This window comes from Homo sapiens, chromosome 6 (assembly GCF_000001405.40).
Source record: "Homo sapiens chromosome 6, GRCh38.p14 Primary Assembly".
Classification (NCBI taxonomy): Eukaryota; Metazoa; Chordata; class Mammalia; order Primates; family Hominidae; genus Homo; species Homo sapiens.
In genome coordinates, this window is record NC_000006.12 from 27495158 (window position 1) to 27509444 (window position 14287).

At 40.3% G+C, this 14287-nt stretch overlaps 4 non-coding genes across 4 annotated transcripts, besides 8 other annotated features; 3 read left to right on the forward strand and 1 right to left on the reverse strand.

The window, feature by feature from the left end:
• Positions 628 to 827: a silencer, noted in NCBI's record as "silent region_17026". NCBI's record gives its function as "represses an Ori minimal core promoter by ATAC-STARR-seq in GM12878 lymphoblastoid cells {active_cell/tissue: GM12878}" and the evidence as "EXISTENCE:reporter gene assay evidence [ECO:0000049][PMID:35858748]".
• Positions 657 to 738, forward strand: TRS-AGA2-3 (tRNA-Ser (anticodon AGA) 2-3). The gene has a single exon. It is a non-coding gene; the product is annotated as a tRNA-Ser (tRNA).
• Positions 1073 to 1573: an enhancer, noted in NCBI's record as "H3K27ac hESC enhancer chr6:27464009-27464509 (GRCh37/hg19 assembly coordinates)". NCBI's record gives its function as "activates a minimal SCP1, AML or CMV promoter by ChIP-STARR-seq in naive H9 embryonic stem cells {active_cell/tissue: H9 hESC(naive)}" and the evidence as "EXISTENCE:reporter gene assay evidence [ECO:0000049][PMID:30033119]".
• Positions 7293 to 7572: an enhancer, noted in NCBI's record as "active region_24287". NCBI's record gives its function as "activates an Ori minimal core promoter by ATAC-STARR-seq in GM12878 lymphoblastoid cells {active_cell/tissue: GM12878}" and the evidence as "EXISTENCE:reporter gene assay evidence [ECO:0000049][PMID:35858748]".
• Positions 7753 to 7802: an enhancer, noted in NCBI's record as "active region_24288". NCBI's record gives its function as "activates an Ori minimal core promoter by ATAC-STARR-seq in GM12878 lymphoblastoid cells {active_cell/tissue: GM12878}" and the evidence as "EXISTENCE:reporter gene assay evidence [ECO:0000049][PMID:35858748]".
• TRS-AGA2-4 (tRNA-Ser (anticodon AGA) 2-4) lies at positions 7882 to 7963 on the forward strand. The gene has a single exon. It is a non-coding gene; the product is annotated as a tRNA-Ser (tRNA).
• On the forward strand, positions 8587 to 8658 carry TRD-GTC2-7 (tRNA-Asp (anticodon GTC) 2-7). The gene has a single exon. It is a non-coding gene; the product is annotated as a tRNA-Asp (tRNA).
• Positions 8603 to 8722: a silencer, noted in NCBI's record as "silent region_17027". NCBI's record gives its function as "represses an Ori minimal core promoter by ATAC-STARR-seq in GM12878 lymphoblastoid cells {active_cell/tissue: GM12878}" and the evidence as "EXISTENCE:reporter gene assay evidence [ECO:0000049][PMID:35858748]".
• Positions 10485 to 10564: an enhancer, noted in NCBI's record as "active region_24289". NCBI's record gives its function as "activates an Ori minimal core promoter by ATAC-STARR-seq in GM12878 lymphoblastoid cells {active_cell/tissue: GM12878}" and the evidence as "EXISTENCE:reporter gene assay evidence [ECO:0000049][PMID:35858748]".
• Positions 10671 to 10752, reverse strand: TRS-TGA4-1 (tRNA-Ser (anticodon TGA) 4-1). The gene has a single exon. It is a non-coding gene; the product is annotated as a tRNA-Ser (tRNA).
• Positions 10675 to 11106: a silencer, noted in NCBI's record as "fragment chr6:27473611-27474042 (GRCh37/hg19 assembly coordinates)". NCBI's record gives its function as "represses an EF-1alpha promoter that drives an FKBP-Casp9 reporter gene in an ReSE screen in HepG2 liver carcinoma cells {active_cell/tissue: HepG2}" and the evidence as "EXISTENCE:reporter gene assay evidence [ECO:0000049][PMID:32094911]".
• Positions 10685 to 10744: a silencer, noted in NCBI's record as "silent region_17028". NCBI's record gives its function as "represses an Ori minimal core promoter by ATAC-STARR-seq in GM12878 lymphoblastoid cells {active_cell/tissue: GM12878}" and the evidence as "EXISTENCE:reporter gene assay evidence [ECO:0000049][PMID:35858748]".

A 14287-nucleotide genomic window follows, 5' to 3' on the forward strand; every position in this document is an offset into this window, starting at 1 on the left:
AGACAAAATCACTCTCAGGTCTTAGGAAAACACTGTTATTGAGATATTAAGGTCAAAATGTAAGAGGGAGAAAAAGAAAACTTGCTAAGTTGACTAAATTTAGAGCAACGCGGGAAGCCCTTGTGTCGGCCAAAACTCAAACCAGATTCTGAGCCTAAAAGACTTAATGTCACAACGAAGGGACACAGAGGAGACTTTTCCACATAATTTTTCGCTCCCTCCACCTAAGACACAAATCAGCGGAAGCGATTCCGTGCCTGGAATCCCCTACGAACACCGTCGTTCACCGAGGAGCTTTGGGCTCCTGGAAGTCCGAACACCCCGGATCAGAGGAGAGTTGGCCATGACTCCCCGTCGGTACCGGCTGGGTTTGGTGCCAGCTATGGCGAGTACAGAAGCCTGGCCGGTCCCGGGGCAGGCAGGCGCTCGCTGGATGTTATTCGACTGACTGGATATTTGCTGGAAACGTTAATGCTTGTGCGATGAGGACTCTCTCTAATTGCAGGGCGCTCAATTACCAAGGATAGCCTGACTTCCTTTCCTAGAATTCTCATTTCACCTTAGCATTTCCAAAAAAACTCACCAAAGACAGAAGTTTGCACACGTCACCTGACACGTCATTTCACCAATCTATCAAAGGGTGAAGTTCCACAGCTGTAGTCGTGGCCGAGTGGTTAAGGCGATGGACTAGAAATCCATTGGGGTCTCCCCGCGCAGGTTCGAATCCTGCCGACTACGGGGTGGTTTTTGCTCCCAGTGAGCTAACTTAACCCATCTGTTTGGCAGTGTGAAATTACCTAACAAGGAAATCCTTACCACCCATTTCTTACCACAAGGGTGCAAACTTCTTGACTTGACTTGTCCAGATGCCTCGCTCATTCAAACCTCTACTGCCACTGGGTTCCCAGCGTGCCAGTGATCCCAACATTACTTCTTATTTGCCTAAAAATAAGCAATATTCTCTATGAGCAAAACGCAGGTTTTGGCGATGCTGCCTCATTTCCTGTCTTCGAACCCCCTGCCTCGAATTTCCCTCACGGAATTGCGCCCGGGAAGAAAACGAATGTTTATATTCATAAGGTGTCTCTCATCTTTGTGTTCACAAATATGTCTCACTTGGAGAAGTAGGGCTGGGCGCGGTGGCTTACGCCTCTAATCCCAGCACTTTGGGATGTCGAGGTGGGCGGATCGCTTGAGGCCAGTTCAAGACCAGCCTGGCCAACATGGCGAAACCCGTCTCCACTAAAAATACAAAACTTAGCCAGGCGTGGTGGCGCGCGCCTGTAATCCCAGCTACTCGGGAGGCTGAGGCAGGAGAATCGCTTGAACCCGGGAGGTGGAGGTTACAGTGAGCCAAGATTGCACCACTGCACTCCAGCCTGGGCAACATAGCGAGACTCTGTCTCAAAAAAAAAAAAAAAAAAAAAAAAAAAAAAAAAAAAAAGGTAGGTCAGCCCCCTCAATCCCTCAATTTGAATTTGTCTGCTATTTCCTCCGAGTTATATTCAGATTATTTTGGCAGCAATACCACAGAAGTGAAGCAAGGTCCTTTACCATTCTTCAAATCCAGTGGCACATGATGTTAATTCGTACTGATACTCGTATGTTAACTGTGATGAATTAAGATGATGTCTATTAAGTTTCTCCACTGTCAACTTACCTTTTGTATTACTCATTACGTGATTTATGCAGCTTACTTATTTTGCATTATATTTGGTTATTTTGAAAAGTATAAGTTAAAGGAAGAAGAAATTGAAGAAGTGCGTTGAATTCTGAATGTTAAATCAGCTTTTCTGTGAAGCCACCGTTGAAGTCTGTAATCAAGGAATACCCTTCTTGCATATAAAATAAATCTGAAATGTTAATCAACATTTTAATTTAATTTTTAATTATTACCATTATGTTATTTAAATGTTAGTGTTTAAAATGTAAAATATTGATATTGATATTATTGTGCAGCAGAGTTATGCACAATTATTTCTTCAGTCACTCTACCTCACATTTGAAATAATACATAGATGCTCACTTTCAGCTATAATTGAACATCATTTGTCTGTTTCTTCTTTTCTTTACTGACCATATCCAAAATGTGTATATGCATAAGTGGAAATTAAAATTAAAATATTCCATTCCCAATAGCAGCAAAAAATTTAAAGTTTGACAATAAATCTAACGGCCAGGCATAGTGGCTCACATCTGTAATCCCAGCACTTTGGGAGGCCGAGGGGTCGGATCACGAGGTCAGGAGTTCAAGACCAGTCTGACCAACATGGTGAATGAAATCCCGTCTCTACTAAAAATACAAAAATTAACCGGGTGTGATGGCATGCACCTGTAGTCCCAGCTACTCGGGAGGCTGAGGCAGGAGAATCACTTCAACCCAGGAGGTGGAGGTTGCAGTGAGCGGAGATCATGCCATTGCACTCCAGCCTGGGCGACAGGGCGAGACTCTGTCTCAAAAAATAATAATAATACAATAAAATAAAAATAAATCTAGCAAGATATGCAAGAAATCTACACTTAAAACTATAAAACGTTGCTGGTGGAAATTAAATGGAGGAAGTGGAGGAAAAATAACAAGTATGTCTTGTTAGACTCAATTTCATCAAGATGAAAACTATTTCCAAATTAATCAATAAGTTCAATGAATCCTAGTCAAGTTCTGAGCCTGTATTTTTTAAAGTTTAACTAGCAGTTTCAAAAATATATTTTAAAGGTAAAGCAAGTTTAGAAAAAAAGAAAATCTCTAGTTTACAGATTCAAAGAAAAGAAAAAATAGAAAAAAAACAAGAAAAGATTAAAGAAGATAGCAAAGTTGGAGGACTTATACAACATGTATATCATGACTTATTGCAAACCTACAATTAAGTGTTATTAATTATGTATGTAAATATTAACACATTTTTTAAATTTAAATTTTATTTTTAATTGATACCAAACATTATCTTCACTGCTATGGTATCAACTTGGCCAGGCTGAACTACATTCCCCAGAATTTCTTTTTCTGTGTGTCTCTGGTTAGGATGGTCCCCAAGAGATATTCTTGCAGAAGATTTGAGAAAGAAAGCTAAGTAGCAGTCATTTTGTAGCTCATGCTAACTCACCTGCTGACTTATCTTGTCACATGGCAGTATTTGTGCCTGCAACTACCCCACCTTCCTGTGGGTTCTCCTTCAACCTCTGTAATTTTTGAGCCAAATGTCTGTGTTTAGCTTCAAGCAAAGGACCCTGTCTTCTGTAGAATACTACAACACCAAGGAGAGGCAACAAGAGCTGACACAGATTTCAGTTCATCCTGTGGGGATCCAGTTCATGCTTGTGGGTTCCAGCTTGTTCTAATATTCCCCACTTTACCTCTTTCTTCCTTTCTTGATAACCTGCCCCACAGTCTTTATAACGCTGAAGCTTGAAGTGCATCCCAGTGGTTCTGCTTCTTTTATTGAATCTTGACTGCTACATATCAATGACTCAACTAAATGATCAAAAACTTGAATAAACATTTTATAAAAGAAGATATCCATGTAACTAATAACCAATTATTTTTCATGGACCTGTTGCAATTGTTGACTCTCACAATGTTAATTATGAATAAAATTAGGTGCAGTAAAGTGTATAGTCAAGAAAAGGATCATGGAGGAAGAGGATCAGTAAACACAACTCAAAGGAAAGGATGATATCCCACCAGGATTAAAGTGAAATTGGTCATTTTAAGACCAGTGCCAAAAGGACTCCTGTTTCTTCCCCATGGTAAAGTAATAGAAACCAGACTTACCCTACCACCTTAAACAACTGGAAAACTGTACAAAGTATATATAACAATTTTCTTCAGATAGACAATAGGCAGTGACTAATTTTGATACCTGGGAAAAGGGAAAAAATGAGAAAGAAATTGCCCTATTTACTGCCTATAATCAGATTAAGAGGAACATTTAATAATGATAAAGAGGTCAATGCACCAAGAAGCCGCCACAACAACCCTACATGTATGCACCTACAAATAGTGCTTCAAAATATGTGTAGCAAAACCTACTAAACTGCAAGGAGAAATAGAAAAATTACTCAAATATAGTTGGAAATTATATTTTTTATTATTTATTTATTTATTTATTTATTTTTTGAGACAGTCTTGCTCTGTACCCTGGCTGGAGCACAGTGGTGCCATCTCGGCTCACTGCAACCTCCGCCTCCCGGGTTCAAGTGATTCTCCTGCCTCAGCCTCCTGAGTAGCTGGGATTACAGGTGCCCACCACCACACCCAGCTAATTTTTGTATTTTTAGTAGAGACGGGATTTCACTATGTTGGTCAGGCTGGTCTCAAATTCCTGACCTCAGGTGATCCACCCCCCTTGGCCTCCCAAAGTGCTGGGATTACAGGCGTGAGCCACTGAGCCAGGCTAATAGTTGGAAATTTTAACACTTCTTTCTCAGTAATTGATAGAACAAGTAGTCTGAAAATTCAGTACGAATACAGAAGATTTGAACCACATTACCACAAATTTGACCTCATTAACATTTATATAACGCTTTTCTCAGCAATAACAGAAAACTTTCTTTTCAAGCGCTCATAGAATACTTACCAAGACAGACCTTATTTTGGACTAAAAAATAAGTCACAGTAAGCTTAAAAGGACTGAAATTACAGAAAGTATATTTTGTGACCACAACAGAATTAAACCAGAAATCAATTAACAGAAATTAAACAAAATAATCTAAAACCAAATAATATATCACAAGGGAAATTTAAATTATTTTGAACTAAATAAAAATGGTAACAAAATATAACAAAATGCAGCTAAAGCTTTTCATAGGAAAAAAGCTTTTATAGAAAAAAGAAAAAAAGCTTATTATGAAAAAAGTGGTCAGGTGCTGTGGCTCATGCTTGTAATCCCAGCACTTTGAGGGGCTGAGGCAGGAGGAGTGCTTGAGCCCAGGGATTTGAGACCAGCCTGGGCAGCATGGTGAGACCCCATCTCTACCAGAAGAACAGGAAAACAGGAAAGAAAGAAAGAAAGAGAGAGAGAGAGAGAAAGAAAGAAAGAAAGAGAAAGAAAGAGAAAGAAGGAAAGGAAGGAAGGAAGGGAAGGAAGGAGAGAGAAGGAAGGAAGGAAAGAAAGGAAGAAAAGAAAAGAGAAGGAGGGAAGGAGGGATGGAAAGAAGGGAGGGAGGGAGAGAGAGAGAAAGAAAGGTCGGAGGGAGGGAAGGAAGGGAGGGAGAGAGAGAAAGAAAGGTCAGAGGGAGGGAAGGAAGGGAGGGAGGGAGAGAGAGAGAGAAAGAGAGAGAGAAAGGGAGAGAGGAAGGAAGGAAGAGAGGGAGGGAGGGACAAGCCAGGTTGGTGGCTGGCGGGTGACTGCAGTCCCAGCTACTCAGGAGGCTGAGGTGGGAAGAATGCTTGAGCTGGAGAAGTGGAGGCTGCAGCAAGCAGAAATCGTGCCACTACACCCCAGCTGCTCCCCAGCCTGGGTGACAGAGCCAGACCCTTAAAAAAAAAAAAAGTGTCAATCAATCATCTATAGTTTCACCTTAACAAACGAGAAAAATAAGAGTAAATTAAATTCAAAGTAAGTGGAAGAGAACAAATATTAAAGAGCAAAAGAGAATGAAATAGAAAAACAATAGAGAAGATCAATGAAATCTAAAAACCAGTGCTTTGAAAAGATGAATAATATTGATAAATCTCCAGTCGGACTGCTCAGAAAATAAATGTAGCAGGAAAGAAACAGGGGACATTTACCTAGATTATACAAAAAATAAAAGAATATTTTGGATAATATGCCAATTAATTTGACAAATTAGATGAAATATATCAATTTCTCAAAAGGTAGAAACTACTAAAACCCACTCAAGAAATAATCTGAATTGTAATATAACTGTTAAAAATATAATTTATAATTAAAAACCTCTCTAAAAGAAAAATCCAGGCCTAGATGGCTTCATTGGTGGAGTCTACCAAACCTTTAAAGAGGAAATAATATCATGTGTACATAAACTTTTCCAGAAACTGGAAAAGTAGAGAACACTTTCCTACTCATTTTATGAATTGAATATTAGTTGATATCAAAACTTGGGAGGGATGAAGGGAAACAAAGAATATAAATGTATTTATTTCTACTGAACTGTACACTTAAAAATGGTAAAGATGGTAAATTAAACATATATATTTTACCTCAATAAAATAAGCTACCATAAAAAATAAAAAATGAAATAGCCCTACCTCAGCAAAAACAAAGTGAACAAACACCAGATCACAGTTTGAGAAAAAAAAAAATTACAAACCAATGTTCCTCATGAAAATAGGTGTAAATATTCTTAACAAATGTTAGCGAATTGAATCAGCAATTTTTAAAAAGGGTGATATGCTGCGACCAAGTGGGATTTATCCTTTGAATGCTGAGAGGACTGTGCCTTTCTTTTCTTAAAGGTGTCATTTTCCATCTCTATAAGGAAAGAGTAATTGATACAGAGTAAGATGCTTTGATTTCAATACTCAGTAGCCCTGTGAATGTACAAAGTTCTCTTATCCGGACATTTTTCTTATTGTAAAAGTGGGTGGCAGCACCTCATGGAACTGTTCTGAGAGTTACATGAGATCCTGAATGTGAAGGCATTTTCTAAAATGTGAAATTTAGAATAGTTAGATAGTAGCATTATTTTTACTGGTTCAATATCAATGCCATACCACTCCTTATTTCTTCAAACAGATAACAAGGTATTACAATCATCTTGTAGTCTTAAGGAAGAGTGGGAACACTTCAAGTAAAAATACAAATAAATACATATACTTTGCTTGAAAATTTGAAAGAGAGAAGAGCTAAAAGAAGAAAACGATGAGGAGCTATGATTCAACACCTCAGATAAATTAGTATTAACTTTTTTGTTTTTACACAACCAGTTTTTAAATGCGTAAGTATGCAATGGCATATTTTAGCCTGTTTTTCCATTTTTAATTTTCCAATTATATAATTAATGCAGTCTGTTTTTCCATTTTTAATTTTCCAATTATATAAATAATGCAGATTGTTTTTATGACAAATGTAAAGAATACAAAAGTAATCGAAATTGATATTTTAATCTCTCACTTACATTCCATTTTGCTCTTTTGTTAGATTGGTGAGCGTCCCTTCGGATGTTTTTAATGGACTTTAATTTGGGGGTTCATTCGATATAAATAGAACTATTTATGTTCGCTATTTTGTGGATTAAAGTTTACACACATTTCCAAGTAAAACGATAAGAATCTAATTCTTTAACAGCTGCATAGTACCCTGTGATAGGAATGCATCACACCATTCCCTTACTAGTTAGCATATTTACATGCTATATACAAACAATGCCACAGTGGACATCCTTGCATCGTAACTATGTAAATCATGTAAATCACCAGCTGTTTCTGCCCATTTTCCACTTTGATCAAAGTGCTGATTTCCCACAAGTTATGCAATCTTCCAAAGTGTCCAGGGCTATCGGAAGACAGGCTGTTCAAAGGCAATAGATAAGTGGGGGCCGTAAGTTAGGGTCTCAGTCCACTTGTTAATTAGCAAAGTTTAGTTCCAGTTGCAGAGACTCCACTGCCAGAGCTCAGACCACAGCCTACTTCCGGGCGCCGACGGGAGCTCGCTCACTGTTTACTAACGTGAAGTTTGTATTCTTTGTTTGGAACGCTGATGATGCTCATCCTCACGCGGGAGTACTCTCATTCCAGTGCTCTTGTCCAGGTGGCACAGGAGGTTGGCTTTTTTTGCTTTTTTTTTTTTAACCAAACTCTCGTTGTACCTGAAAGTTTGCGTTCAACTCACAAAGCCCATTTTCTTGTACCTAGATAGTAATTATCCTGATTTGCATTTTCTCATGTCTATACCGTGAAAAAAAACGTTGTGATTCTGTGTAGTCGTGGCCGAGTGGTTAAGGCGATGGACTAGAAATCCATTGGGGTCTCCCCGCGCAGGTTCGAATCCTGCCGACTACGAGTTCGAGGTTTTAGATAATTAACAACAGAAAATTTAGAAGAAAGAAATTTAAGCCAACTCACGTGTTGCGAACTGAATTTGTTTGGTACTTCCCCGATCCTGAAACCCCACAACAATGGAGGGTGGAAGTTACTGAATACCTACTATTTTCATAAGATTATGGGTACCTTAATTAGCAGATACCTAGTCATTTTCCCGTTAGCGGTACCTTTGTACGGTTCTTGGGGACGCCTCTCGTTTCCCTGCCTTCCAAACCCTCCTGAAGCCTATACCTGTTACAAGTCTTGATAGTGCTTTCCTCTTCATGGAAATTTAGTCCTAGTCAGAGGTCCAAGTCTTTGGTCAATTATCAGTTTCTGTGGAATCAATGGTTCAACTGCTTTGGTCACCCGGTCTCGCTGGTTGCAAATGACTAGAAACACTGTCAGAGATCTCGACACCACCACAATCGAAAGACCAGGCTGTCCTGACAGACCCCGTCGTTTTGGCTTAGGCGGCAGATTAAAGTGTAAATTCGCCAAGTATAATCAATTTAGTAGAATACAAACTTACAGACTTAAAAAAGTGGGCAAGAATACTTAAGTTTATTAGAGGTAGTCAAAACTCGCTGACGCAGAGTTCTTCCTCGTTAGTATAGTGGTGAGTATCCCCGCCTGTCACGCGGGAGACCGGGGTTCGATTCCCCGACGGGGAGAAAAGTTGCTTTTTGCATCTTCTGCCCACTGATGGCCCCTACCTGGCTCTGAGAGCAGAGCTGCGGTGGGACCCCTCTGCCATTCCTCCTTAACTGCCAATGGACCCTCTCGACTTTCCTCACTCCTAAGACCGCTGCTCTGATCAGAGAAACATTCCAGTCAATTCTGAAACCTCAAAGTCACAGTTACTTTAAGGCCCATAGGAGAATCTAGGTTTAAATGACACAAAATGTACTCATTAAAAGTTAACGAGAATACAGTTGTCTAGCATCTGCCTCTTATTTGCATGGTCAGAAAGCTCATGTAAATGTTCAAGTCCTCCATCCTTCTAGACATCAAATCTTGGAATGAAGATATCGACAAGGCCCAGCTGGGGGCTCGTGTATGCCCCAGCTGCAATGGCTGACCTGGGCAACTCCAAACTATAGAATCCACAAGATGTCGATCAAATGTATGAGGGAAGATGACAAAGTGGCCACAGACTTTTGAGGAGATTCCCAAGTTTCAGGAGCACATGAGGAATGTCAACACTGCTGCTTTCAACAATATCTGAAGCTTCAGGCAATGTGTTAGTGAATGTATGTCAGATTTAAAATAAAAATTGAGCTACCTGAAATGGGGGGGGGGTTACTTAAAAAGCCATAGCAATCAGGACAATGTGATACTTGCTCAGGGGGTGTAAATTGGCTCAATCACTTGCGAGAATGACTTAGCATTATATATTAAATCTTGAATGTATACATGTACTGTGACTCTGTAATTCCACCCATAAGTATATCTCTCCAACAAAAATATTTATTTATATTCACTGAAATACATGTACAAGAATATTCATGGCAGCACTAGTTATAATAGCCAAACTGGAAACAATACAAATGCCTCTGTGGAGGAATTGGACTTTAAGAAGTGCCTTGACATCAGGGGCTGATTTCAAAGAGTGGAGATAGTGGAAAGTTGCCTGTCAGAGCAAGAGCAAGGGCATTTAGGGGTTGCTAAGACAGAGGAAACTCAGAATAAAAGTGGGCAAGAGGGGTGAGAACATTCCTATATTTGGCACCCTGCTAGCTTCTCTTTTGTTCCATTCCTTCAATCTCCTGGCCTTTCTCCTCTCTTCCGTTTTCTTGTTTTTCCACATCTTTTCGTCTTCTCCCTCGACCTTTTCTTCCCAACTTTATTCTGTATGAGAACCAAAGTACTGAGTGTCTGAAGTTACACTGTTTCCTGAATCTACTGTAAAGCCCAGATAAGTGTTCTTGGTCTTTGAATGTGCTGGAGAAGATAGGAAGAATAGACTGGGGCCAGAGAACTTCACCTTGAATTTTTCTAAGCTGTAAGATGAAGACATTTAACAAAATCAATAGAATAAAAATAATAAGGGCTTGGCAGCCAGAGGCTAGCTTTAACATCCACTTCCTGTGGTTTAATAAACCTTTCCCATTCTTGGGCTCTCGAATTTTTAGGCCGAGAAGATACAGTGTGTGTGGTACTGTCTACAAACCAACGAATTTATATTGAAGCTACAATCACAATCATTGTTATTGCTGCAAAACAGGTAATGCCTTGTTGCTGTTGAATGACAGTCCCTAAACTTGGGCTAACAAAACACTTAATACACTATAGGCAAAATCTTCACACACCAGACAAGCAACTTAGACTTATCTACAGAGAAAACTCGATGGAGTCTGACTTCGATTCTCAGAGCTTGTAGGTGAGGAAAAGAGAATTGCCTTCCTCAAATCAGGATTAACGTTAGGTGGTGTTTACACCACAGCAATAGATTCTCTCTTACTCGAGACACGGTTGTCTCGGATGTTGGAGGAGGAGGAAAGTAATGGACTCAGAGAAAGAGGTAAACTACAACGCAGGGTTAATAATGATGATGACAGCTAGAATGCAGAGTTCAACGCAGTGTTACCAAAGGAGATGACACAATTGTAATCCAGGAGACTCAGTTGCCTTTGGGGTGCAATTAGAAGGAAACTATTTGGGAGAAGTCAGGCTAAAACCAAACCGTAGCCGACAGGATTCGAACCTGCGCGGGGAAACCCCAATGGATTTCAAGTCCATCGCCTTAACCACTCGGCCACGACTACGCACCTGTGTAGTGCTCTTGGTTTAAGCTTTTGAAGATGTGAGCAGTGTGCCATTCTTGGGTAGTATGGTAAGTAGATACTACAGTAAAAGATGTTTTGGTGCCTGGTTACTAAGTCTAGTAACAAAGAATTTTCTAGGTGCATTAAGAGCTTCCAGCTTTTAGATGAAATAAGTCATCCATACTGAATTGGAATTCAGTTGAGAAAAGTGGAGTTCAAAGGAGCATTCTGAGACAAGAGACTTGGATTTTCTCTCCCCCTAGAACTCCACTTGCTAGTCACGGTTGATGCACCTGTTCACAGGTATTTGTGAGAAACCAGCAGAAAGGGAGTTTGGAGCTGAGGGTCTGATCCTAGTAGCTTCACAGCCTCAAATGACAATAGCACAGGAAACCTGCTAGAGGAAATTTGAAGGAATTATGACCTTGGAGTCATTTGCTTTTGCTTTCAGTATTGAATACTAAACCAGAAATATCTTCAACAGCTTTGAACTGCTTTGTCCTTTCTCTGGCTTAAAGAATTCGTTGAAACCCAATTTGAGCAGGGGTGCAGGATGAGAAGGGGCAGGGAAGACCTAGCCCTCGTGGACCCTCTGAAGAAAAAGTTGATGGGAAGGTCTCCATCCTCTCAGGAAAACTCACTCCTTTTCACCTTCCCCAGGGAGGGAAGCAGGCAGTCCCAGGAGCCAGGGGAATATGGAGAAGCTTAGATAACATGTTTTCCAAAATTTTGCAGCTTGAGAACATTGTCTGTCCCTCCTAACGTAAAAGAGCTTGTGAATGCCACATTAAATCTAGCTATATTAATACCTTTTTACCCCCTAGGATTAAAGACTGTTGGTTCAGGAAAACACTGCAGAACCAGGCTTTTATTGTTTATTCTTTAATGGGGAATCTCAGGGATTACAGCTTTGAGTTCTGGGAATTGAAATGCTTGGCCAAAGTACCACCAAGTAGATTCAGACAGACTTTCAGATACAAACGAGAGAATCTCTTTTACACCTGAGACCCTCGAACTCTCTTGCAGATACAGTTTTCCCACATGCATTTTCGTTTAGGGCAGACAAAAAGGCAGTTGCTCCTGAAGTGAATTGCATTGTGTTGCCCAGAAAGATATGTTGAAATCCTAACCTGTGGTACCTGTGAGTGTGACCTATTTGAAAACAGTCTTCGCTGATTTAATCAAGTTAAGAGAAGATCATGCTGGATTCAGGTAGGCTCTAAATCCAGTAATCCAGTGACTGCTGTCCTTATAGGAAGTGAGAAATTTAGAGACACAGACACATAGTCACTAGTTCAAAAGCTATGTTGAGAGGGAGGCAGAGACTGGAGTGATGCAATTACAAACCAAGAATGCCAAGGATTTTCTTCAACCATCAGGAGCAAGGAAAGAGGTCTCAGATTTTCCCTCAGAGCACCTAGAAAACAACCAACCCGGCCAAAATCTTAAGAATAAATCTGTCTTTTTAAGTTACCCAGTTTATAGTAATTTGTTAGGGCAGTCTTAGGAAACTAATCAGCTCCCTTACCCATGTTCTTGGAACAAGATCCTTGCTGTTGCTGCCTTAGCACTTCTCCATTCCACCAGGAAGCTCGTGCAAATGGTGACTCACTTCTTTTTTTCTTTTTCCTTGAGATGGAGTCTTGCTCTGTCGCCAGGCTTGGAGTGCAGTGGCAGGACCTTGGCTCACTGCAACCTCCAACTCCCTGGTTCAAGAGATTCTCCTGCCTCAGCCTCTCGAGTAGCTGGGATTACAGGTATGCACCACCATGTCCAGCTATTTTTTTTTCTGTATTTTTAGTTTCATCATGTTGGCCAGATGGTCTTGAACTCCTGACCTTGTGATCTGCCTGCCTCGGCCTTCCAAAGTGCTGGGATAACAGGTGTGAGCCACCGCGCCCAGCTGACTCACTTCATTTTGAAGAAAACTCACTTAGCGAAACAATCCAAACTAAAAGAAATCATTTATGTTCAAAGACACTTAGGATATTTTGTTATAATAATGAAATAATTAAAATAACAAACATTTCCAACAATGGGAGGGAAGATGATTACATAATATAGGTTATATCTACCTGGAAAAATGCTACAAAGCCAATAAAAACGATGTTTTGCAACTCTTACTAGTGGATAACAAAAATAAATAAATAAATAACAGTATTTTCGAAAAGATTGTGATAGTTCAGGCAAGAAGCATGTGATATAATGTTAAATGAAAAGAGGAGAATTTTTTAAATGCATATATTGTATAACCTCAAGTAAAATTTTTGCATTATACGTATTTGGGAGGTGTGGGAGAATACACCAATGCATTACCATTTGTGTCTGGGTTGTAGGATCATAATGGGTTTTTTTCTTTGTTTTTCTACTATGTGAAGCAAACATCATTATTCAGGTTTAAAAACGAAGGGGCAGAAATAGTATTTTATTGCTGGAACAGGGAAAAGGTAGTCCCTAGACACAAGCACTTTGATGTTACTCAGTAGTCAAACATTTGGCTCAAGTGGTCACATTGTTCAAGGGGACTTCTGGTTAAAATGGTAGTGAAACCCAGGACTTTATTTTTGCTTTCTTAAGATGCCCATAAGTTGACAGTAAAAGCAATTCAAAAATGTGTAAACCTACAATGATTAAGAGAGCATGAAAGCAAATAACAGACAGTAAAAAACATTGTTGGCTTCCCAAATTAAAGTAGCTTGATGCAATGGAAATTTCTGTCTTTTTTTTTGAGACGGAGTTTCACTCTTGTTGCCCAGGCTGGAGTGCAATGGCGCCATCTCGGCTCACCGCAACCTCCGCCTCCCGAGTTCTAGCGATTCTCCTGCCTCAGCCTCCCAAGTAGCTGGGATTACAGGCATGCGCCACCGCGCCCGGCTAATTTTTTGTAATTTTAGTAGAGACGGAGGTTTCTCCATGTTGGTCAGGCTGGTCTCAAACTCCCGACCTCAGGTGATCCGCCCGCCTCGGCCTGAGATTTATGTCTTACTCATGTAACAGTCGATTGCAGATTTTTGTGTCAGCAAAGAAAGAGGAACCTGTTTTGTGTCCTTGTGGTGATTCAAGGTTCCAGGCCTCTTCCATCTTATGAATCTATTATCCCCTAAAGCTTGGGAAAGTGCACACTTCTTAAAGGCCTGGAGAAAAACAAGCTACTTGCATTCATGATTTATTGATTATAACTAATCATATGGCCTCACTGAGGTGTAAGGAGACCTGGTAAATACAGACTTTGGCTGGGTAGCTTATTCCCACAGACAACAGTGTACTATGGAGGAGGAAACATGAATTTAGGTGGATACCACAGTTATCAACAAAATTTGGGAGACAGAAGGGAGTTGGATAAATAGTAATTGAATTAGAGTGGATAAAGCTGAAACCTAACTGTTTGCAAGGTGGGAAGCCGACAATAACGAAGCTGACATCACAGATTCCTGGAAAGGCTTAAGAGTTGGAAGAACTGGCCGGGCGCGGTGGCTCATGCCTGTAATCCCTGCCCTTTGGGAGGCCAAGGTGGGTGGATCACGAGGTCGGGAGT